General features: G+C 39.8%; 1 protein-coding gene and 1 pseudogene across 1 annotated transcript; both read right to left on the bottom strand.

Moving 5' to 3' along the window:
- Window positions 1–249: 249 nt before the first annotated feature.
- Window positions 250–2,141, bottom strand: ANKRD33BP3 (ANKRD33B pseudogene 3; annotated as a pseudogene).
- Window positions 2,142–5,695: 3,554 nt separating this feature from the next.
- Window positions 5,696–11,094, bottom strand: TRIM64C (tripartite motif containing 64C). Its single transcript, NM_001206631.1, has 6 exons — window positions 10,683–11,094; window positions 10,060–10,154; window positions 9,130–9,360; window positions 8,341–8,363; window positions 7,292–7,389; window positions 5,696–6,189 (listed from the first exon to the last, which is right to left on the bottom strand). The coding sequence occupies exons 1-6, from the start codon at window positions 11,092–11,094 to the stop codon at window positions 5,696–5,698; spliced, it is 1,353 nt and encodes a 450-aa protein (NP_001193560.1).
- Window positions 11,095–25,237: the final 14,143 nt, after the last annotated feature.

Consider the following 25,237-nt stretch of genomic DNA (forward strand, 5'->3'; position numbering starts at 1 on the left):
TTGATCTTTAAAAACATCTTAATTGAGGTTCTCTAAAGGGAGCCTTTTAGGCAACATGCCCGCTAGGTGTACTGATTGCTAGGGTGGCTGCTGTCAGGCGAATCGATGTGGCTCCCCCAGCCCCTTCCTGGGAGCATCCTAGAGAGACAGCGCGGAAATACACGCGGCCCGGTGGTCCCGGGAGCTGCCATGGTGCCCAGCCCCGTGGCCTTGCCCTGCCCTCACACCGTGTCAAGCACCCGCGGACTCTCACGTCCTCTTCTTCCAAAGCAGCGGGCGCTTCTCCTGCACCTTGGCCTGGCGCTTCTTCTCGGCCTCCTCCGCCTCCGGTTTCTCCTCCTTGGCCACCTTGTTAGGCCACTTGGGTATCCGCAGGTGGCCGCTGTCCTTGGTGCTGCCCTTCCGCGCTGGCCTCTTGGGCTGGAAGGTGGGCCCGGGTGCCTTGCTGAGGCGGACCCGGGGCACCACCGTGCCTGGCCACAAGCTGCTCCGCCGCAGGCGCTGCAGGGGCAGGAGGCTAGCCTTCCGCGGGGAGGGGTCGGCAGAGCCCCAGGACCCCGGCAGCGGGGCAGGTGGGAGGCCGGCTCTTGGGGATTCCTCACGGGAGCCCGCCGCCTCTAGGCCAGGCCGCTTGTGCTGCTCTGCGCCCTCCGTTTCGCCCGCCACCTGCGCCTGCCGCCCCCACCGACCCCACGCCACGCCGCCAGAATTTCCTGAGTCGCCAGGATTTCCTGCACCGCCAGCCGCCTCTTCCCCACGCACAGGGTGCTCTCGGGGCACACGGTCTGGCACGCGAAGGCCACGGCGGTGCTGTTAGAGGCTGGTGGTCATCCTGACTATGTGGTCCAGGGCGCCCCGGTCCTCTGGGCCACGCACGGCGCGCGGCGTCAGCGCGGACAGCTCGCAGTCCCTGACCCTCTGCAGGCAGTTTTTGGAGCCCTCGGGCTTCTGCGCCCTCTCGTGGAGCGGAGGCAGCTCAAGCTGGTACTTTTCCCCCAACCGCTCCTGGCAGGGGTGCTCCAAGAGCCTCTGCATGAGGCGGACGTGTAAGTGGCCACTCCTCTGGCGACATCCCACGGCAGGGACCCTCGTGTGGACACCCGCCCCTGCTAGCTCAGGGCTCCGATGTGATCGGTTCGACCCTGCATGGCGGTTTTCAACCCAAACTCATCCCTCCTTCAAGGTCAAGACCCAGGACATAGTTCAACAAGTAGTTGGTGATGATAGCCTGCCCTGACTGGGCCAGAACAGCTTCTTTAGTAAAACAACGCAGGGAAGTCATGAAACAGATGCTCAGCTCCTTTCTTCATTTTCACTTTAATTCCGTGATGCCTGTGTCCGTCTGACGACATCTCTCCTGGGGTCTGGGACTCTGCTGGTCTTCAATGCCTACTGAGAAGGGTTCCTGGCCATCATCAGGCATGAAAACTCAAAGCCCTCCGTCCTCAACGTGGGATCCCTGGGCCAGCGGTATCAGCCTCACCAGGAAGCCTGTTCTTCTGCCCATTCTTGGGCCCCACCCCAGGCCTATTCAAAGAAAGACTCCAGCGGCAGGGCCTGGCAGCCCGTTTCCACCAGATCTGTGTTAAAGCTCAAATGAACCAGCCCAGGTGATGCTGACGCAGGAAGGGCAAGGCTGAGAGCCAGTGTCTAAGGCAACTGTGCCCATGGGGCCAGGGGCAGTTCCTGCCTGTGCAGCTATGATTAGGGCTGCGTTCCCCTCCCTGTCCTGCCAGTTGACATCAATGTGGGGGTACTCAGCTAAGGCCACCACGGTATATCCACAAAGTCGTGGTATCAGGCGACATTAAGGCCCGTCCAGCCATTGTGGTCAGTCTCCTGCGCCTTCTTAAAGCTCACCCCACACCGCACCAGCGTCCGCAGCTGCCCCACGCCTCCAGGATGCCCTCCTCCGGTACGCTCTCCACGCCCTCGACGCCGTGCTCCTCCTCGTCCTGGAAAGGGTACAAAGAGTCGTCAGAGGCGACGCTGCGAGTGTCGGGCAGACTGGAGAAGTCCTGGAACTCTTTGAATTCAGTGCGGTCCTCCTCGACCTGCGCGCCTAGGAGTGGGGATGGCGGTGGCGGGATCATGCAGCGCGCCTCGCCACCCTGCGGCCGAGTCCCAGCCAGCAGCACCATGCCGGAGGCGTGGGCGGGGGATCGCGGCACCGTCCGGGAAAGCCTGGGGCCCGCCAAGGTCCATGCTTCTCACTACTGAGTCCCCAGAGAAGCCCTAGCTCCCTCCCCCAGCCCGGCGGAAACCTCCCTTCTTTTACATTATTAAGTTTGTTTTTATTTTAATTTTCTTAGGACATTGATAAAATCACTTTCGGATTATTGGGATTAAAAATTAAATAATTTTCAACTTTACTCTTTTTTAAAATTGTCACAATTTATTTTAATGCTTTTATTCTTTTGTAACTTTTAATTATTGTAATTTATATCTTCAATTATTATGGAAGAATTTTAGAAAAGTCTTTTCACATAATAAAGTCTAATTAATGAACTATTATTTATTCTCTCCTCTATCTCAAATACGGACTTTAAACTTTTAGAACACTTTATGTTTTGAGACTCTTGTTACTTATGTGACATTTTAACTATTATTCTTCACTCTTCTAGTGAATTTTTAATGTCATTCAAAGGGTACATCTTTCTATAGTGAGAATTAAACATAGTTCTCAAAAATATTCTCAGATATTTAGAATTTCATCTTCCACTGGCATGTTAAGTATGTTCTCCTTCCCTTCTAATGCATATTTTCCCCCAAGTCCTCGTGTTATACTCCTTTTTCACCCTCCATTCAAGAGATGATTTTATTTATTTATTTATTTATTTGTTTATTTATTCACTGAGGCAGAGTCTCACTCAGTCTGTCACCAAGGCTAGAATGCAGTGGCATGATCTCCATTCATTACTATCTTTGCCTCCTTGGTTCAAGTGATTATCCTGCCTCAGCCTCCATAAAAAATCTGTAACCAGGCTATTGATAAATAACTTCTTTTAGGGATAAAAAACTCAGAAAGTTCAAGATTTCTGGATTAATGATTGACAATGTTCTTAGTGGTCTCTCTGATTTATTTCAATTGTAAGTAATTCTTGGTGATATTCTAACATAAATTCTGACAGGTGAAGAGAATAAATGAATTAAGTATCTCTAGGAGAATCAATAGAATAAGATTATCTTGGTTAAATGGTTGAGAAAACATGGTAAATAGACAAAAAAACTTTTTCATCTTCCAAAATCAGAGTCAAATACTAAATGATCATAAAGTAGCTAATACTGTCTTTCTGCAAAGTGAATCTGAGCTAAATTAAAAGAATGTCAGGAATAAATTTTTCCTTGAAAACTAGGAACAAATAATGTAATTAAATTATGAGGCATTGACTGTTGCATAGAGTTCTAGCATCAACAGAAAAGCTCACAAAACATAGGTGAAAATCAAAAAAGGAGTGCTGGGTTGGAGCCCTAAGGTGAATAATTTTATCATCTCAGATCGCTTGGAAAAAAGCAGCGAGTCCAAAAGAAGCTGGTGATAAGCTCTCTCTCTGCTAACCCCTAATGTTCTGCATGAAATGTGTGAAGGCAGAAGAGAGACAGTTTATTATAGTCTACATGGTATAGAGTGAAGGAATAAGAGAACATTTCTGATAAGTGTTTTCAAAATTTGGAGAATCATTCCTATCTAAATCATTCATTTAAGGGAGTAAAATACAAGTATGATGTTTCTTGCCATCTAACCCTCAGCTAGCCATGCTCTAAAAAGGACAACACTGGACACCTCGACAGTGGTAAAAAGCAGGGTTTACTCACTCTTGAATACTAAGAAATTGTGCTAATCTTAGGCAGCAGCTTATCTATTTGGTTGAGGTTCAGCTTTGTTTCATTGAACAAATCTCTTGGGTTATTTTCAGTTGTGCCAGTCATTTAATTTGTTTTCTGAATCAAATGATAAGAATAAATATGGTTTTGAGTGTAAACCGCATTCCCAGATATATCTTACAACTTGGTGTGCCATCTGCCTAATTTTGAACCTATAGGATGGGAATAAATGCATTGTGAAAAACACCAGGTGATTTCCTTAAAGCCAAATACTCTTGTCCCTCCTACTTTTCTTCTGGCTTTCCTGCTGCATGGGACATGGCAATAAATGGGAGTTTCCTGCACACAGAGATAAAATTCACTTGTTGAAGATGTCAGTCTTCTTCTTGACCAACTCCTATATTGGTAAAAACATGTTAGAGAAATGCACCTTCTGAATCGTTTCAAATTTGTGGTCTTTGTTAGAGAAGATAAGCTGGTGCCCTGGGAGACGTAGCTATTACATTCTATTATAGAATTTTCCATTCTGTATCATCTGGATTCTTATTTAAAGTGTAAACTAATTTTGTTCTTTCTACTGCGTAAGAAGGTTTATACCACTTTATGCTTAGTAATTAAATTTATATGTCAGTTTAAGTCCAGTCTCCACTACTCTAAGTCCTGCTCCTGTTCCCCATCATCTTATATAGGAACCTTCATTTTTCAATGGTTTATATTAAAAAACCTAAGACAATTGAAATCAATCCTATAAAAATTATGCTACAATTATTTTAAACCCTAACATAATAGTATTATCTTTGATATCAATCCAAAAATCAATTTATTTCTTATCTTTTGATAGATACTCATTAGTATGTTCTATCCTATTTTGTTACTTACATTTTGGAAAAGTTTCTTAATGTTAGAATAATATTTATACATGTTAACTCCTCTACTTATCCATTTATTCATTTTATTTATTGTGTAATCTATTCTAAAAATCGCATTCGATAATGGTAATATATTAGCAAAGAAGACAAATACTGCCATTGCCACCTTGGAATTTTCAATCTGGTAGTAATAAGTATAAGAGTTTTCTGAATGTTATAATCTGATATAATATACTCGAGAAGATGTAATAGCAGAGCAACCCAGCACTGAAAAACTGTTGTATGAGCTGAAATGCGATTAATAACTAGGATGTTGAGAAATAATAAAGTCTGTGAGGTCAACTTAACTTGGTCAGTCTTAGAAAGAAAATAAGCACACTTCTTTATTCTTTGTAAGATAAGATATCCACCAGTTCAGTTTTCTACCCCAGCCTGGTTCAAATATACAAGTAAGACAAACGGTTTACAGTGTGTACAAACTGAAAACATACTCTCTGAAAAATAAATCAGATTTAAAAAAGAACTTATATTGTATGATTTTATTTACCTGAATGCAAAAACATAAAAAGTAGATTAAGTGTTCTGAAGGAATGGGGGAGGGTGAATGGAGAATAAATGTTTATGGGTATTGGGATTCTTCTGGAAGTGATAAAAGTGTACAGGCAGTAGAGAGTTCTGATGGCTGCTCAAGTGTGATATACTAACAATCTCTGAATTAAATACATTAGAACATGACTTTCACAGTAAGTGAATGAACCTCAACAAAACTTGTACAAAAAAAGCCATTATTGATGTTCTAGTAAAGGTTCCACAATAAGTTATTAATTAAAATAACTTAATTAACGAATGTACACATTCAAGGTGGTTATCCCATTTATAACCATAAAGTAATTACATTCCATGAAGTTACAATAAGCTCACAGGCTCTCACACATAGGGTCTTAGGACACTATTTGCCTCATATATGGGAGCTCACAATAAATCATCATGAAACCAACTTTTCATGTACAACCAAAGCAAAAGAAAGGCCTCAGAGGGGAAGAGAAGGAGGAAGGAGGAAAACCATAGATAAGAGAACCTTTAGAAACATCAAAAAAACTCACAGATCCATTATCATAATCCAGAAACACCCCAACCCAACCCAGAGGCCTTTGCACATACTGGATTAAAGGTGGAGAATTGGTGGAGAGACTATAGTGATTGCTCGTCTTTGAAGAAATTGAAAAAAATGTTTTGTCAGAATCAATAACTATATTGGTATCTGCTGTCCTAGAATCTCGACAGACTCCCAGAATCCAGTTGGAGGAGTGGGTCACATCCACTTCCCAGTAATGCTTGCCGGAGGTGAATGCTTGCGCACACCACACAGCAAAGCTCTCCACTCCTTGGGGATCCATGGGTGCACTGCGATGGTCATCTCCAAATATCACACGTCTCACATCCTCAGAAAGGCTTATATAGCAAGGAGTCATTTCTGTACTCAGAGCATTATCCACTGACAAGGAAAAAATATTATATTAGTGAGTGCTATGAGGGACAGAGGCTCTGTGGCCCAATTATTCACTTCATTTGCTCTTCTTCCAAGGAAATACAGAAAAAAGGAAACCAAGAGAGTTCAGCCCCATGCATCCATGAAGATGAAATGTTATTATACCTCTACAGCATATACAATTATGTATTATTTCTTAAATAATAGAGAAAAAATGTGACCATATCACTGGGCAAAGTAATGATTTAATGTCTATCTCTTCATAGTTTGTTTCAGAACATATCTAAAATGTTTTTTTTCTTCAATAGAAAAATCTTCTTGTATTATTTGTCTTTAAGATAATCAACAGGTAGACATCAATTTGCTGTGATGTGAGTATTTATTGGAATGTAAGTTATGCCTGTTATAGTCTCAAACATCAAAAATTTGGTAGAAATTAACACATGTAAAGTTTATAAGTTTCTGAAAAGAATACTCTGGCTTTACATTATCTGTTTAGCCCCTGATTCAATCTACTCTGTGTTCCTGCCCTCTGCCACCTAGACTTGCTCTCTAGAATGGGCCTAACATTGTTAGGCCATGTTCACAGATCCCTCACCTTTCACTTGTTATGAGATGTTTCTGATGGCATTAGAATTGTCCTCATTATGGATATTTTAGTCATTTTCTTTGTTGATCAAAATGTTCTGATTTTGTAAATAATAAAAATTACTTATAGAATGTATGTAAATGCACAAAGAATAGAAATAATTAAAAACCATTATGCCAAATCTAAGCCTTTAAGATTGAATTAAATTGAATAAACATGAAATACTGATGCCACCATGAAAACTAGTGTCTTCGTAACTACATGACCTGAATATTCTTTGTCCTCTTATTCTGCAGATAAAGTATGTATCTTGCTTTACATTTTCATCAAACTGTAAGTCAGGAAATTGAGTTTTGATCATTGTAATATTACTATGCAGGTAGAGAAGATGCACATGTTTTGGAAAACTATGTATTACCTACATGTCAAAACTAATAAAACGTAAATGGGAGAAGCCTCAACCAAGGGACCCAATAAGGAAATAATTTGAGGCTGGACTGCCAAGCAGCTGGCTCTTGCCTCTGAAGTTGTTGAGCATGTCTAGGACTCCAGTTATGCACCATGAAGTGAGCTCTGGGTTCACTGGCTGGGGCTTTGGCATCTGTGCCAAATCAGTTCTGCAAAAAAAAAATGGCCTCAGTTATATTTCCAGGACCAGAGCTAATCACACAGTCATATGAAGATATCATATTTTCATATAAGATGTTTCCTCAGAATTCTGCCGGTTTTGGTTAACTGGATGTACATTTTATTCCACACTCTAGGGGCCATAAGGATGTTAATTTTTTTAAATTTTACTTGCATAAAAACCCAATTTCTCCAGATATGTTATTCTCAGACATTATACAACTTCTGAAGTCATTAAAAGTCATTGCCTCCCTCTGCCCATCACACCCCCTGAGGGTATGCAGAAATTCTGGAAATATTTCAGAGAGCAGAAAACTCAGACAAAAACCTTTGGGACCTCAGGCTGCAGTTGTCACTAATGCTAGTCAGTGTCTAATAGAGAATGTTCGCTGAGACAAAAGGCTTTAATCTTTTGTGCAAAACAAAGGAGTCTAATTCCAGCCTGAGAACCCTGCTGCTGAGGGTCCCGAGGCAACCATTTTCCTGAGGTCTTTCCTAGAACTGGGTGTATGGTGATGGAGCAAGCCCGGGTCATTGATGCTTTTAGGAACAAAACATCCCGCCTCAGCCCATCCTTAGGGAATATCTCTCCTCGATCTGTCTTTTTTTTTTTTTAACCTCCCACCCCTCTAGAGTAGAAGACACCTCTATGATTCCTCAGAGTAATTTTGTATTAAGATCTCTGGGGTAGGGCTGGACAGGAAGGATGGATTAGGAGAACAAACTTCCGAATGGCAAATTGTTTTTACATATATTTTAATTCATACAAATTTTAAGATGGAAACTTTCCAAACCAAAGAGAAGAAGATCTCAGGCCCTCTTTTGAAACAAAATCAGAAATAGCCACTGAGAATGATGTTAGTACTCAAAATGTATACATCCCCTTCATTCACAAGAGAACAAATTTTTCAGAAATAGCATTTTTTTTAGTGTAAACTCACCTTGCCGATATATTTCCCACATCCTGCAAAAAAAATAAAATGTAATGTTAATTATGAGAGATTTTTCCTTCTGCATCTTTTCTCATACTCTTGTTTCTTTCTGTTTTAGTGTTTTAATAATGTATATCTTTTTATTCCCCTCTAAGGAATCATTCAAGGCTATGTTAATAACAGAACCTCAACTAAACAATGAAAAGCTTCATCAGTGGGCATTAAGACGAAATGAGCTCAGCAAGAGACGGTGGAGTAAAGCAAAGATACCTAGGTTTCCAGTCTCATTAATTTCCTAATCTTATTTCCAAGGAAAGGTCTGACCACACATGACAACTATTAAAACAAAACAGAGAACCATATGAGAAACAGAGTACATGGACATTGATGAGCCGCTTTGACAAACCTTGCCCAGGCAAGGGGAAACCCCTCAATGTCTTCAGCAAATCACTGCTGTGTGGACATCAGAGAGTGAGGAGGAACTAGGGCATATACATGGATATTACTAACCTTCCCCTGGCCTAGAGTTCTAATGATCTTAGATGATCTCTCTTGTGGATAGTACTCCAAATTATATTGAAGAGAACTTTGTTATATGTTATCTACTAAAATGGCAAAAATTTCCCAAAGATTACCAAAGTATGCAGTAATAAATGACTGGAAAAATGTAATGGTGGAAGTCACACAGCATGTGTCACTTAGCTTAGAGCAGTGACATATGCTGATGACATTTGCATGTCCTGGCAGCATTGTCCAGCAAAGGCTTCCTGTCTCTGAGGATGGACCCTCCCTCCTCACCTGGAGCAGCTCCACGTCAGGCATGTGGTATGTCTCCCACAGCTCTCTGTACATGTCTTTCATCCCTTCTAAATGTTGGGTCATTCTCACTTGACTGTCTTGTAGTTGTTGGAAAAGCTCTTTTGCTTCTCTTTCCAGTGCCTGCAGATGCCGTTGCTCCTCCTCATCGAGAAATATATGCATCTTTTGATACTGAATAGTGATTATCACCTTCCTTAATGACACATAGTCCTGCAGAGACGTTTGGTTAAAAGGATTACATGTTCTCACTCTCAATAGAAAACTTCAAATAATTATATGCTGGGTGTAATCAAGCAATTTATAAACTTTCTGCTTCACTCTTGCAAAGAGTCTTGAATATTTGCTATCTTTTTCTGTCCATCTTTTTCAATGTTCCTATTCTCTCTCCCTTTTTAAATCAAACCAATATAAAGACTCCTGGTTTCCGTCACTGTAATGCTTCTTCACAGTTCTTACTGAGTCAATTATTTCCTCTATTAATCTCTCTTTCAGGATTTTTCCATGTCTAATTTGCCTAAATGTTAAAAAACATTTAGCCATGCACCATATTATGCAGTATTTTTTTACTTTTACTATATTTTTACTCTATATACTATTCTATTTCTTTTGTCTTCCTGACACCCAGTCTTAGTGAAAGGTTGTCTCATCTGCAGTGTCTGAAAAGGTTTATGCCAACCTTCAAATTTGAACTAGAATACACATCATGCCGTTTATCCAATATACTAGAATTAATTTGGCTAGCTTGTGTGGGCTTCTCTGTTTGCAATTCCTATTATATCAATTGAAATCACTACATTTTCTTGAGGTGAAATCACTATCTTTTAACTGGTAGTTTGAATTTAGCTAAAAAGTATAAGCCAACTTTGTGTTTATTTGCATAAAAACAAAGGAAACATTTTCATTCTTAACCACTAATGAACAAAATTTGCTAGTTTCCTGATTTAGATTGTTTTGTGTCTCTTGATTGATTTTCCATAAATAGTCCATTTCCTTTATAAGTTTCTCTTGCAAAAGAAGCAAGAAGCTTAGCAATGATGAAGACAGTAGATCTTATCCCTTTATCAATAAAAAAAAGGCCGTAATTGAAAGAAACATAAATTAAGTTAGAGTGGAGTGGTCAGATTTTTCCAAGTTAAACAAATATGGTTCTAATAATTTGGATGTGAAAAGTGATAGAAACATAATAGAGAGTTTTAAGGGACCTTTCAGATAATATCATCAATTTTCTGAGAAACTGGGTTTTACATAACCTGACTTTGAAAAGTGTTCTTGGTGCTGGCCACCAGCTCCACAGCTCCATCCTATATGTTTGAACAATGTTTCTAAGGAAACCTCCTTTAGTGAAGTCTCAACACAGCTATGATTAGAGTGCCAAATTAGTCAGCAACATTGAAAGGACACATTTATGTGTTATGATTGACATGGAATAATCGCCACCTCCACTATCTGCATTCTCATCACCATCATTATCACAGGCCCTCATCATTCTTATTTGATATTCTGTATAATTCAAACTGCCTTAGAGGCATCACGTACCCTGCATTCCTCAGCAGCCCATCCTATTGGGCTGTGGCTGTGAGCCATGTGCTCTGGTGACTCAGAGCAGGGCCCACAGAGCAATCTCTTGTCAGCCTCACAGAAGAGCTCCTTAGTCTCCTCATGGAGCACACAGATATTGTCTGAGCTGTTGATGTTCTGAGGTCTGGTCTGTCTGGCTAGGGAAGCCAGCTTTTTGAGTGCCACATTGGTGTTGAAGTTGGGCTTCTCTGAGATTTTTCTGCACAAAGGGCAGCGCATTGGTGCTCTGCCTTCTTCTGAGCAGAGGCAGAGGCAGGGCCTGCAAAAGCTGTGCACACAGTCAGTGGTGACCGGGTCTATGAAGTAGTTCACGCAAATGCAGCAAATGAGCTCATTCTGGAAGACTCGCAGGGTGTCTGAATCCATGTTTCTTGAAATTAAAAAAAAAAAAAAGTAAGAATTTCTTTCTCTTATTTTTATTTGCCCCGATGAAAAGGAAAAAAAGGCCAGTGGACAATTTTCCTTTCTACTTGAGCTCTGTCCAATATGTCTAATAAGTTAGCTCCAGCACAAACTGAGACATAGTAAATGCAAACATGCTGGATTTATAAAGTTTTCCCTCAATAGCCATTGAAGGTTCGGTCCAGGACTCCCTGAGAACCAAGATCCTAAGATGTTCAAGTCTCTTATTAGTAAATGGTGTGGGATTTGCATGTAACCTAAACCCATCTCCTGAATACTTTATCTCTAGATTACTTTGAATGCCTAATACAATGTAAATGCTGTATAAATACTTGTAATGCCATACTGTTTAGGAACAGCAAGAAGATTAAAAATATGTACAAGTTTGGCAGGGTGCGGTCACTCATGCCTGTAATCCCAGCACTTCGGGAGGCCGAGGCGGGCGGATCACGAGGTCAGGAGATCAAGACCATCCTGGCTAATATGGTGAAACCCCATTTCTACTAAAAATACAAAAAATTAACAGGGCGTGGTGGCACATGCCTGTAGTCCCAGCTATTCGGGAGGCTGACGCAGGAGAATCACTTGAACCCAGGAGGTGGAGGTTGCAGTGAGCTGAGATCGCGCCACTGCACTCCAGCATGGGTGACAGAATGAGATTCTGTCTCAAAAAAAAAAAGAAAAAAAAGTACATGTTCAGTACAGCTGCTTTTTTCTTCCTGTAAATATTTTTTATCTGAGGTTAGTTGAATCCACGGGTATGAAACATGGATATGAAAAACCGTGATTCAAATGAGAAAATGAGACGAGAGTCCTCATGGCATTTTTGTTAAACAATCCGTGCTCTCAATCATTCTCAGTTACTTAGACAAGCTTAAAACCTGGGTGGAGGGTAAAAGCTGAGATGATTTCTGAGTCACTTATATAAGCTAATTAATGAAGAAGCACATTCTGAATGTCATCCTGTCTCTGTCATTCTATCTCTCTCAGTGATTCCATGATGATAATATACGAAACACACTTAGTATCTATGGTATTATTCTATACTCCCTGCCTCCAAACTCACCTATGAAGTTTGCTCAGGCAATTATAAATAAAGTAGCTTTTATCTAAGATTGAGTAATCAGAGTGGACTGTCAACTCCTAAAATTATCAATCATTAAATTTGTCCTTTTAACTTTAATATCAAAACTCTTCCTTTCAATACATTAAATGTAATTAATATCTATTATATTTAATTTAGGAAAGTTTTTTCCCATTGTCAATTCAGATGATTAGAGAGAACACTTTCACATTCTGAAATAGCCAATATTTCAACATAATAATTAACAGGAATTAATCAGCAATTAATTATCTTCTAAAATAACAAAAAAAGTGAAGATATGTATTAGGTTTTCCACTCAATACTAGAAAATCCAGGAATGCAGTTAATGGAAGCATGGCCACCAATTCACCTTTCCCCTTAGTGACTTAGAAGTTGCAGCCTCTTGGGAGCTCTTGCCAGTTGATTAGATCTATTGATCTATTTTCTTTCTTTCTTTCTATCTTTTTTTTTTTTTGGTGGTTGTTGTTGTTGTTGTTGTTGAGATGCAGTCTCGCTCTGACTTCAGGCTGGAGTGCAGTGGCGGGATTTCAGCTTACTGCAACCTCCGCCTCCCAGGTTCGAGCAACTCTCCAGCCGAGGCCTCCCGAGTAGCTGGTATTACAGGCACCCGCCACCACACCAAGATAATTTTTTTGTATTTTTGGTAGAGACCTGGTTTCACCATGTTGGCCAGGCTGATGTCTAACTCCAGACCTCAAGCGATCTGCCTGCCTTGGCCTCTCAAAGTGCTAGGCTGCAAACATGAGCCATCATGCCCAGCCGATTACATCTATTTTCAACAGCTTTCAAATCTAGTCTGCAAACTGCAAATTTTGAAGACACAGCAAATAAGACCTTTGCAACAAGAATTTTCGAAGTAATTCAACATTTTTAACATTCACTTTGGTGTACGTTACAACCATTACTACATGCCCACATTCTAATGAATATTTTAGGTATTTTATGGGTTCTATCATTGCATGAAACTATGGAAATATATCTTTTCTCACTTAAGAAAAATCTAACAATACAGAAAACAGTCACATAAAAAGAATCAAATAGCAAGGGAACACAAACCATATCTTACAAATTGAAGATACTTTATATTGATTTTCTGTAAAATCACTAAGACAGTTACTTGATTGCTTAGAAAAGACCCAAGCAGTTGGGCCCACGAAAGACCATAACCACTTCCTGAGATTGATTAGATTGCACAGAAATGGGTAAATTAGCTGATTAGGTTTATAAAGTATTGAAACCCAGACTTGAGGGCTCAAAGCTCAACAGACAAGTTTGGAATGAGATGCAAGAAAGTTGACTTAACACAGTTTATTCAAAGCAATATTTTAAGTAGCTGGGCGAGGTGGCTCATGCCTGTAATCCCAGCATTGTGGGAGGCCCAGGAGGGTGGATCACGAGGTCAGGAGTTCAAGACCAGCCAGGCCAAGATAGTGAAACTCCATCTGTACTAAAAATACAAAAACTTAGCCGAGTTCGGTGGCAGGCGCTAGTAATCCCAGCTACTTGGGAGGCTGAGGCATGAGAATCACTTGAACCTGGGAGGCAGAGTTTACACTGAGCCGAGATAGCACCACTGCACTCCAGCCTGGGTGACAGAGCGAGACTCTGTCTCAAAAGAAAAAAAAAAAAAAGAAATATTTTAAATACTACAATTATTTCATTAAATATTATCACTTGCTAACTTTTCTTTTTCTTTTGAGACGGTATCTCGCTCTGTCGCCCAGGCTGGAGTGCCATGGCTCGGTCTTAGCTCACTGCAACCTCTGCCTCTCGAGTTCAAGTGATTTTCCTGCCTCAGCCTCCCAAGTAGCTGGGATTACAGGCACCTGCCACTAAGCCCAGCTAATTTTGTATTTTTAGTAGAGACAGGGTTTCACCACATTGCTTAAGCTGGTCTGGAACTCCTGACTTCATCTGATCTGCCCACCTTGGCCTCCCAAAGTGCTGGGATTACAAGCGTGAGCCACTGCACTGGGCCACATGCTAACTTTAAAATTTTGTTTCTCACTCTGTTTTAAAATTATAGTTGCTTATGTGCCTAGCCATTATTTATCTGAATATGTTCGAAGATAAAACATTAACTGGGATTACCAACACATCTGTGCTGTGTAACTTTCTTGTTTAAAAAAGTATAGCAAGGAACTCAATTGTGTTTCACATAATTGTATCTATAACGGTTGATAGAATTAGTTGTATCAGCCTGTTTGTCTTATAGCCTATTTTATGGCTATTGTATGTCTTATAGTCTATTTTATGACTATTTCCTAATGATTGTTTTATATGAAAATAAAATCTATTTTTTATTCATCCACATTTTTGAATAATTTTAAAAGTGATGCTTTACATATATATGTACATAACTATAACAATGTTATGTATTCATATTTTTAAAAGTATATAATAATTATTTACACAATAATAATAATTATTATTACCTCTTTTTTGAGACGCAGTCTCCCTCTGTCACCCAGGCTGGAGTGCAATGGCATGATCTCAGCTCACTGCAACCTGTGCCTCCGAGGTTCAAGTGATTCTCCTGCCTCAGCCTCCCGAGTAGCTGGGATTACAGGTGTCTGCCACCGTGACTGGCTAATTTTGGTATTTTTAGTAGAGATAAGGTTTCACCAAGTTGGCCAGGCTGGACTCGAACTCCTGACCTCAGGTGATCCGCTATTATCATTTTAGACTTCAAGTCCTTTTCAAACCAGTTTTTCTTTTCCAAATTGGAGACTTTTTCTTAAGAAATAATTCAAGAAATGAAAATACTATGACAAAATATAGAACTTTGTGACAGTTCTTGGACACTTTAGCAATATATAACTATTACTTTCAAAAAGATTAATATAATTCACAATATTATCAGAAATCCATGGAGAGCGTATGCTTCAGTGTACCAGACAGAGCAATGGGCACAACCAAGGTGTCAATTGTTATGCTACTGTGAGCAGCAGAACAATAGCAAAAGGGTTCCATCTAATCATTTCAACATAGAAGCAAACTTTTTATTAGGATTTCTTGCTAATATCAAAATATTCAGCTAAAAAATTTTATTTCCTGGGAAATGATATAAAATATCAATAAGCATGATAAAATACACTATCATTATGAAATGCCATAATTAGTGCATGAGATAAACACAGGGTTTCACAGAAAGATAAAGTCTTTGAATGTTCACAAAGAGATTCTCAGATTATTTGAATGATATTTAATAAACTTAGAGTTGACCCTTGAACACCATGGTGGTTGGGGTGTCAAGATCCCGTGTAGTCAGAAATCAGCGTATAAAGTTTGTCTTCCTCAAAACTTAGCTATCAATAGCCTAATGTTGACTAGAAGCCTTAATGATAATATTCACAGTTGATTAACGCATATTTTATATGTTATATGTATACTGTATTTTTACACTAAAGTTAGCTAAAGGAAAGAAAATATTAAGAAAATAAAAAGAAAAATACATTTAATATTCATCAACAGAATACTAAATATAATTAGTGGAAGTGGATCATTATAAGGGTTTTCATCCTCATCATTTTCATGTTGAGTAATCAGAGAAGGAGGAGAAAGAGGAGGGGTTGGTCTTGCTGTCTCAGGGGTGTCAGAAGCAGAAGAAACTCCAATTATAAGTGACTCACATAGTTCCAACCAGTGTCATTCAAGGGTCAACAGTATATATAGGTCAAAAGCTTTAAAACTATATTCTCTGATTTTCTAAATAAAATTAAACTACATTACATAAAAAAATTTAATAGGAAATTTCTTGGAATTTCAGGCAGGTAAATTGGGGCGGGGGTGCTGGAAACTATATACTAGATAAACCATTGTACTATTGGATTTCCACATAATTCACATATGTGATTAACACATATATGATGAGAGAGGCAGTGCTTAGAGATGTAGCAGAAAAGGTAGCATAGGGTAGTTCAAGATGGGGCCTAGATGCAAGGCTGAAGAATCTGTATTGATCATTTACTGATTCAAACATAAAATGAATACTGTGAAGAGAAGAGATGAAATGAAATTACATATACATTCTGAAAGAAGTAAAGATTTCCTGATGGAAAAGTAAAACAAATAATATTAAAGACACTCCTAAGCACTAAGAAAGAAATTGGCTCTGTGTGAAAGAGAGAGATAACATGAGCTTAATTATTTATATTATAAGTCATCTTGATTCTTTAAAGGTGATATCCTTAAGGATAGTACTTACAATACTTTTTTCTTCAAAATATCAAGTGCCTACTATGTCTTAATAAACATTCTAAGCCAATGCAGAAATGAACAAATGAGACAGATTTTCTTGCACCTAAAGAGCTAATGAGGTTGCAGGGTGAGAAACACAAGTCAACAAGTCAAAATACAACATTCAAAAAGTGAAGCTGGCACAGTGGCTCTAGCCTGTAATACCAGCACTTCAGGATTCTGAAGCAGGAGGATCACTTGTGCTTAGCAGTTCAAGACCAGCCTCACCAACAAAGTGAGAGCTCTTTTCTCTAAGAAAAGATAAACAAAATTAGCTGGGGTTGTGGCACGTCCCTGTATTCTCAGACACTGGCTTAGGTGAGAGGATTTCTTGAACCTGGGAAGTCAACGCTGCGTTGAGCTGGTATTGCACCATGCTTAAGCCTGGATGACAGAGCAAGACCCTGTTTCGAAAAGAAAACAAAATTGATAGAGTGGCGCATTGTGATAAGTGCTTTAGAGAAAAATACAGCAGGAAATGAAAATAAAGACTAATAGACAAAAATTGATTTTTGTTTTGTTTTGTTTTTGTTTTTGTTTTTGAGACAGTGTCTTGCTCTGCCACCCAGGCTGGAGTGCAGTGGCGCAATCTTGGCTCACTGCAAGCTCTGCTTCCCAGGTTCACGCCATTCTCCTGCCTCAGCCTCCCGAGTAGCTGGGACTACAGGTGCTCACCACCACGCCCAGCTAATTTTTTTTTGTATTATTAGTAGAGACAGGGTTTCACCGTGTTAGCCAGGATGGTCTCGATCTCCTGACCTCGTGATCTGCCCGCCTCGGCCTCCCAAAGTGCTGGGATTACAGGCGTGAGCCACCGCACCCGGCCCAAAATTGAATTTTTAATATAACGGTCAGAAAAGACATAGTATAGAATATATTTGGGCAGATACCTAAAGGAGGCTAGAAACGAAGGTGCGTGGCTATTTCATGTATTTCAGCTTTTTCCTAGCTTTTTAGGAAGCGATAACTACATTAAAAATATCTAAATATAAACTGATTATTTCTCCACACCATATTTGCCCCCATTGTCTATTATGAAGCTTCTGATATAAAGGAGAAGGAATGAGAATACAGAAAATTGAAGCCAGATCTCAAGGTTGAGAGTAATTTATTTATGGTCAATAAAGTCTCATAATATGTACGGTAATTTAAGCATGGTAGGTGAGTGTTATTCAGTGTGAAATGAATCAAAATCTTACTCAGAATACTGAAAGTAAATATGTCAAGTGTATATGGAGACCAGAGACAAGTGCTCTGCTGCCTTTGGCACAGAGCACAAGCAACACTTTTAAGCTTCATTACTTGTTTCTCAGTATCAGAGGAGGGGAGAATGTCTGCCTATTGACCTCGACAGCATCCTCCTGCAACTAATCATCCCTCATTCCCCTTGTCCCTGAATTCCCTTGACCCACCCCCTCCTTCATTTGATTGGCTCTGTGTACTCGTTAGAATCAGAAGATCTGGGGGAACTGTGGCTTCTAAACATGTACACTAGACTCTACCCATATCCAGCCCTGTGACCCTACAAACGTGCTCAACTGAATTTTCCTCCCATAGAGACACTCTTCCTGCTGAGTTTCTCTCCTCTGCTCCTAGAGCCAAATGGCATCTCCTGTCCTATCCCTGGATGGCTTAACTCAGGAAAACTCCTGGATCCAAGAGGAGTCAGACAAAGGAATGGTGGCCTTGTGGGTGCTGATATTCTCACAGATGTAAAGGGGATATCCTGAAATCTAAGGTTTTTTCCTTCCCTTTTCCCTCCCTTACAGCTTCTGCTGCTCCTGGGAGCTTTGCTCCATCTCTCATCCAGCTCAGACTGTTGCTGGGCCTGATAGTCTTTGCATAGTCAAGGTGGTTCTTGAAGAACTCTTGTCTGCACGAGGTCTGAGCTGCTTCTCCAGAATCTGCAGCATGGGTTTCCATAACTGCATGAAGATCTGGAGCCACTGGTAACTAGGCAGAGAATGTTCTCATGTGTCTAACATGGCATGACACTCCTTTCCATGAGCAGTAGAATAAATGCATTCAGATGAAGCCCTGCCATCATTACTTTGTCAGAAATAGATTCTGTCAATAGGTCTTACTGGTATAAGTGTTAGAGATGAGAATACATTTTAAAAGTGTTGCAGTGATAGTATGTAGTAATTCTGAAGTTTTCAAAACCTAAAGAGCAGATGGGCAGAATAACAACTTGTTTGTTTCTTTGATTCTTTGTTTGTTTGTTTTGAGACAGAGACTTCTGTCAACCAGGTTGAAGTCCGGTGGCCCAATCTCAGCTCACTGCAACTTCTGTCTCCTTGGTTCAAGCTATTCTCCTGCCTCAGCCTCCCTAGTAGCTGGGACTAAAAGCATGCACCACCACACCTGGCTAAATTTTTTGTATTTTTAATAGGGTTGGGGATTTGCCATGTTGTCCAGGCTAGTCTGGAAATCCTGACCTCAGGTGATCCACCCACCTTGGCCTCCCAAAGTGCTGGGATTACAGGTGTGAGCCAACTCACCCAACAAGAATAACAACTTTCTAAAGAAGTCGTTTTTTTTTTTTCTCTCTCTCTCTTTCTCTCTACAGGATTTGGGAGACATGGTGGCAAGGTATGTTATTGGCCATCAATGCAAGCTGGAGCACAAGGCATGCTATGAAAAACATCAAGTTGTTTCCAACAAAGGGAAAACATAATTTACTAACACCATAATGTGTCAGTGTGATTGTGTGTGTATGTGTGTGTACTTATGTGTTTGTGTGGTATGTTGAATGTTACCTATGCCTTTTATCAGACATTAAACTTTTCTTACTTTTCCAACTGACTCAGGGGGTTATGTTTTGAAGAGTTCAATGCAGAAGTTGCTAGAATATAATTGCCTCTTTTTAGGATTCAGAATCATAATTAGAGATCAACTATTTGGTGGCAGATAAGGAGAGAGGCATTTATCTTTCAGTGACAGTAGGTTAGAAATGGAGTGAAGAGTTAGAAAGATTCCCTAAGGGCCACAAACCCATCCTAGGATTGTGGAGGTACATTACAATATCAGAAGTGGGTTTGAATGAAGCATTTTCTTTGGAATCTATTTCTTAAACACAGACATCAGAAACTTAACCAACTCAACCTGCTTCCTTGCAGGAGTGAATCCGTGCTGCTGCACATGCCCCAGCCTGTGAATCCAGAGCTCACTATAGGGCCCATCACAGGACCGGTGGACAGGCTCAACCACTTCCGAGGTGAGTGTGGCCCTCTTGGTGGAATCAACATGCAATGCCTTCAATTATGGTTTTCTATGGGCAGCCTTCCCAGTGTAATGATTTTTCATCTAGAAGAAGAGAATAGTCTGTGAATAGGTATTTATATTTATAGTTTCACTATTATCAAACAGACAAAACTAAATAAAAGATGGTGGAATCAGCCATATAACAAATTTCTTGGAAAAGTAAAACATGCAGAGGGGCTCTTTAGATGTAGAACCATTCATGTATGGTTCAACTGTGATACAATTTCATGTATACAATTATTACATGAAGTATACAGAACTGAATTAATTCAGGACATTTCAATTTCAAATTCAGTGTAGTTAATGACTGATTTCAGTGACAGTGTTTTTTTAAATACATTTCAGGTGAAGTTTCATAGCATTTATAATTTTAATCATGTGCGTTTTAATCAATTAAAGCATACATGAGTAACTTATATAACAACACAAACACTGAGAATCTGTGAACAATAGGAACGTGATTTGGTGGTTGATGAGGCCTTAGATAGAACTCCAGGATAGATCATGATAAATCCAGCAAATAAAAGAAGTCTGTGCCTGAATCTGGCACGAAAGTCAGATAATTCTTGCAAGGAATCTGCACTTTTCAGAAGGCAGATTCAGATTTTCTCTTTAAGTATGAATTTGCTAGTTTAAGTGGCAGATTATATAATATTTCTGGAAAGTGATAACTTTTTTATTTGGGTCTAAGAATGGCTCCCCACCTCATCTCCTGTCCCCAGCCTCCTGCTCTGCCCTGACAGAGAAGAGGCAATGGAGGTTAATTTTATTGCTGTGGACTTGGCTGCAGTGCAAGAGCTTCCCATTTTTCAGTTGTTGTGAAAGGTCGCTAACTAGACATAGACATGACCTTCCTCCCCTTTATACTTTTTGAGTTTATAGAAATTGTGATCATTGAAGTTGAGCCATTTACTTGTGCAGGTATCCTAACACCCTTTGATTCCAACATTTTTCCAGGCAGAAGTTTCTTTCTAATCTTGACCTGTGTTTTCTAGTGAGAATCTCTTTCTTATCTGAACATAAGAATTTATAAACTGCTTTTCACTGGAACATTCTCTTTTTTCTACAGTGGAAACTTCCTTCACTTGGGAAGTAACCAATTACAATATCAGGCTGTTTGAGGATGTGAGAAGTTTGATGTTTAGATGTGGATCTTTGAATTCTGACAGATCTGACAATTTTGCTGCATGGGGAGCCTGGGTCTTCTCCTCTGGCAAACACTACTGGGAGCTGGATGTGGACAACTCTTGGGACTGGGCTCTGGGAGTCTGTAAGGACTCCTGGATAAGGAAGAATAGTACAATGGTTAAATCTAAGGACATATTTCTTCTTTTATGTGTTAAGGTGGATAATCATTTCAGTCTCTTGACCACCTCCCCAATGTTTCCTGACTATGTAGAGAAACCTCTGGGCCGGGTTGGTGTGTTTCTTGATTTTGAAAGTGGAAGTGTGAGTTTTTTGAATGTCACAAAGAGTTCCCTCATATGGAGTTACCCGACTGGCTCCTTAAATTTTCCTGTCAGGCCTTTCTTTTATACTGGCCACAGATGACCAGGATTAAGAAACCTGACTGTTCGGGAACTCCATATACAAGGGAGCCCCTCACTGTTGATGCAAAGAAATCATACTGTTCAGGCTTTTTTCTACTTTAGTGTCACTTCATTTTATTGGTATTAAATAGAAGATATGTAAAATGCAAAACATTTTTGTACATTTTCTTACAATTAAAATAATCTCTTATGGCCCATTACCTAAAATATGTATTGTGATTTTCAAGTGTTTGTGAATTTATTGGATGGAATTCTGGAAATATGTGGGTGTGTGATTCCCACTTAATGATCCCATGCAGGAACAAAATTTGCACATAATGGACAGACAGGATTTCGTACAATACACTTGTAAGTGTGAGAGCTCTCTCCCATTAATACAGTAAATTCTACACCTCACCACTTTAGGCGGAAAAATTTATTTTACACAGAAGTTTTCACTGAATCTTTGGGCCAGAATAGGAATTTAACAGTCATGCATCCTATGGCAACAAAAACACATTCTGAGAAATGCATTACTAGGCGATTTTATCATTGTGTGAACATTAGAACACACATAAAAACCTAGATAGAATATCCATCTACAGATATAAGCTAAATGGTACAACCTATTGCTTCTCTGAGAAGTTGCTAGCAATGTCTGAGCAGGAACCAAAAGGGTTTAACCCACATTGAATTCTGTAGCTGTTTAATAAAGCAAACAGCATCACCCAGGGAAAAATAAACAGATGAGCAGACTGTCTACTTTAAAATGTGTTTATACTTCCCATTCACACGGATTGTGAATTCTCATTGTTAACCTAGAGTCCCAGCAACTCAGGAGGCTGAGGCAGGAAAAACGTGTGAACCTGGGAGGCAGAGGCTGCAGTGAGCTGAGATCGTGCCACTGCACTCCAGTCTGGTGACACAGCGAGACTCCATCTCAAAAAAAAAAAAAAAAAAATAGCTTCGAATTCCAAAACACTTAATGTTGCACCCTCCTTGAACAATAACTAAAAAAACTCATTTCCACTCAGTGAAAATACAATCTTTACGCCTATAACTGGTATCAGCAGATCAATATAAAAAATACAGTACCAAGCTACACTGGTATATTTCCATTTTGAGAACTTCACAATATCCTCATTGCTGAGAGCATAGTCCTTGCATTAGTTTTCAGTCCGCTATGAACAATTATCTGCTGCATGTAAACGTGTCTAAATAACTATAGATAAAATACATCAATCATAAATTTCTGCAAAAGTTAATAAAATATCTTCTTTAAAAACAAAACAATAAGCTATTACTGCATTATTTCCAATTTTATGAAAATGGAACAAATATATGGTTGTTGCTAGTCTTGAGTTCATTGTAACAAAAATGGCCCTAGTTCCTGGTTAAAGTCAGCAACCAATCCATTTTCTTCAATAGATGTCTTCTAGTTGTGTAGGCAAGAATTTGTTTTACATGCTATTCTGTCAATTTATAAAATTATACACCAGAAACTGACCAGTGCCACAGTACTCTGTTGCAAACAGTTTTCCATCAGGAGTGGGATCTGAGAAAGCAATTTCTTCTTTACTCAAATATGAGGCATATATAAAGTTACTCCTTAGGCATTCAATCATGCGAGAAGCAATTTTCTTCTGACACATCATGCTGAATACCCATATTCGACTGATCCCACAGATTGCAGGCTCTGGTAATGTTGAGCAGCAAGATTCCAATTTTAAATAAATGGGAGACTATGTTTTTCTCACGTACTTATTCAAATAGAGGAGGTAATCAAAACGAAGATTGACACTTTCATCAACTGGATTTCCTCTCTACGTGCAAGAAAGTGCAATCTGTTGCCATCTCCTGTTCAGTGAGAAAGCTGAAAAAACATCCTGAGCAAGAGGACCTGAATGTAAGGAAATGACCTGGTGTTTTCCTCAGTACTTCTGTTCCTATCCTATTGCTTCAAGCTTAGGTATACAGCACACTGAACTGCAAGATGTATCCGGAAATGCTGAATACACACTAAAATATTTATTTTTATTTCCTTTATTTTATTTTTATTTCTTTTGCTAGAGACAAGGTCTCGCTATGTTGCCCATGGTGGTCTCGAACTCCTGACCTCAAGCAACTCTCCCGCCTAAACTGCCCAAAGCACTAGGATTAGAGGCATGTGCCACTGTGTCTGGTCTTTTCTTTTTTTGGTCTCAAATTCCTGACCTCAAGCAACCCACCCTCCTCAACTGCCCAAAGCACTGGGATTAGAGGCACATGCCACCGGTGTCTGGCCTTTTCTTTCTTTCTTTTACTTTTTTTCTTTGATTTAGAAGAAAAAGAAAATTAAATGACAGCACAGCAGAAGAAATGCCCAAGAGCTTGTGTTCAATGAAAATCAGGTGATCCTTTACTAGAGTTGCTTTTAGTTAGAACCGGGAATGGGTATTCAGGAATAAGTAAACTCTGCTTTTCACCACTGTCGAAGTGTCCAGTGTTTCCCCATTCAGCAACTGGCTAATTAAGGGTCATATGGCAAGAAGGATCTTATGTGTCTTTTAATCTCTTAAATTGATCACTAACTCAAGGTGATCATACAAATTATGAAAATGCTTATTAGCAATGCTTCCTTATTCTTTCTGTCTGTACTACCTAGACTCCTTATTTAACTTTCTCTCTTCTCCTCCCACACACTTATTTGCAGCACTTTCCTAGGGAACAGGAAAAGTCTATCACCTTCTGATGATTTGTGTCTCTCCAACTGATCTCAGATTACAGAATTTTGCCTTCTGGGCTTTCAACTCAATTCTCCTTTTTATTTTCACCAAAAGTTTCTGAGCTTTCTCTATTGACACTAAAAATTTCTATAAGCAACAGGTATTACACTCTCAATATTATCTTGTTACCAATTTTGTTTGTCACTTATTCAAAGAAAATTTTATAGCTGATCGTATTTAGCTTAGATTTACTTGTACATACAGTTGGTATTAGCTACTGTAGACATTTAAGATATTACTTTAATTTTGGACGAAGGGAAAGTGCGTATTAGTTTGGTAAATTTTCTTAGCCATTAAACCAAAAACTTGTTACATTCTTCTGTTTTGATAACTTCTATTAGAATTATTATCATCTGGGACATTCCTAAAATTGAGAAATAAAATTAAGGTGAAACTACTGGGAGCCTTTCCAGTTATATCAGAAATCTAGGACTCCTCACCTCCTGAAGAGGTTATTGATCCATTTGCCTTGTCACATTTTGTGGGACAGAAGTTAAATTCTTCACAGAAATAAAATTAAAAGTTAAAAACTGATGTGGAGACATAGCATGTGTGTAGTTCAAACCAGAGAGATTAGATGAAATTGTAAAAGGAAGAGTATACAAAATGAGAAGAGATCATGGTCTGTGATGAAATTGTGGGAAAGCGATAGCATAAAGGTAACATTGAGGAACTTGAGACCAGGAAGAAAAGAAGCTGTGTTTACCCATGTAGTTAAAAAAAGAAAATTACATGTTGGGAGGCTGAGGCGGGCAGATAACTTGGGGTCAGGAGTTTAAGACAAGCCTGGCCAACATGGTGAAAGCCTGTTTCTACCAAAATTACAAAAATTATCCAGACATGGTGGTGGGCACCTGTAATCCCAGCTAGTTGAGACACTGAGGCAGGAGACTTGCTTGAACCCAGAAGGTGCAGGCTGCAGTGAGCTGAGATTGTGCTACTGCACTTCACCCTGGGTGACAGAGTGAGAATCCATCTTAAAAAAAAAAAAAGAATGCCAGACATGGTCCTTCATGCCTGTAATCCCAGCACTTTGGGAGGCCGAGGTGGGCGATTCATGAGGTCAGGAGTTTGAGACCAGCCTGACCAAGATGATGAAAGCCCGTCTCTACTAAAAATACAAAAATTAGCTGGGCATGGTGCATGCCTGTAATCCCAGCCACTCAGGAGGCTGAGGCAGGAGAATTGCTTGAACCCGGGAGGCA

This window comes from Homo sapiens, chromosome 11 (assembly GCF_000001405.40).
Source record: "Homo sapiens chromosome 11, GRCh38.p14 Primary Assembly".
Lineage (NCBI taxonomy): Eukaryota > Metazoa > Chordata > Mammalia > Primates > Hominidae > Homo > Homo sapiens.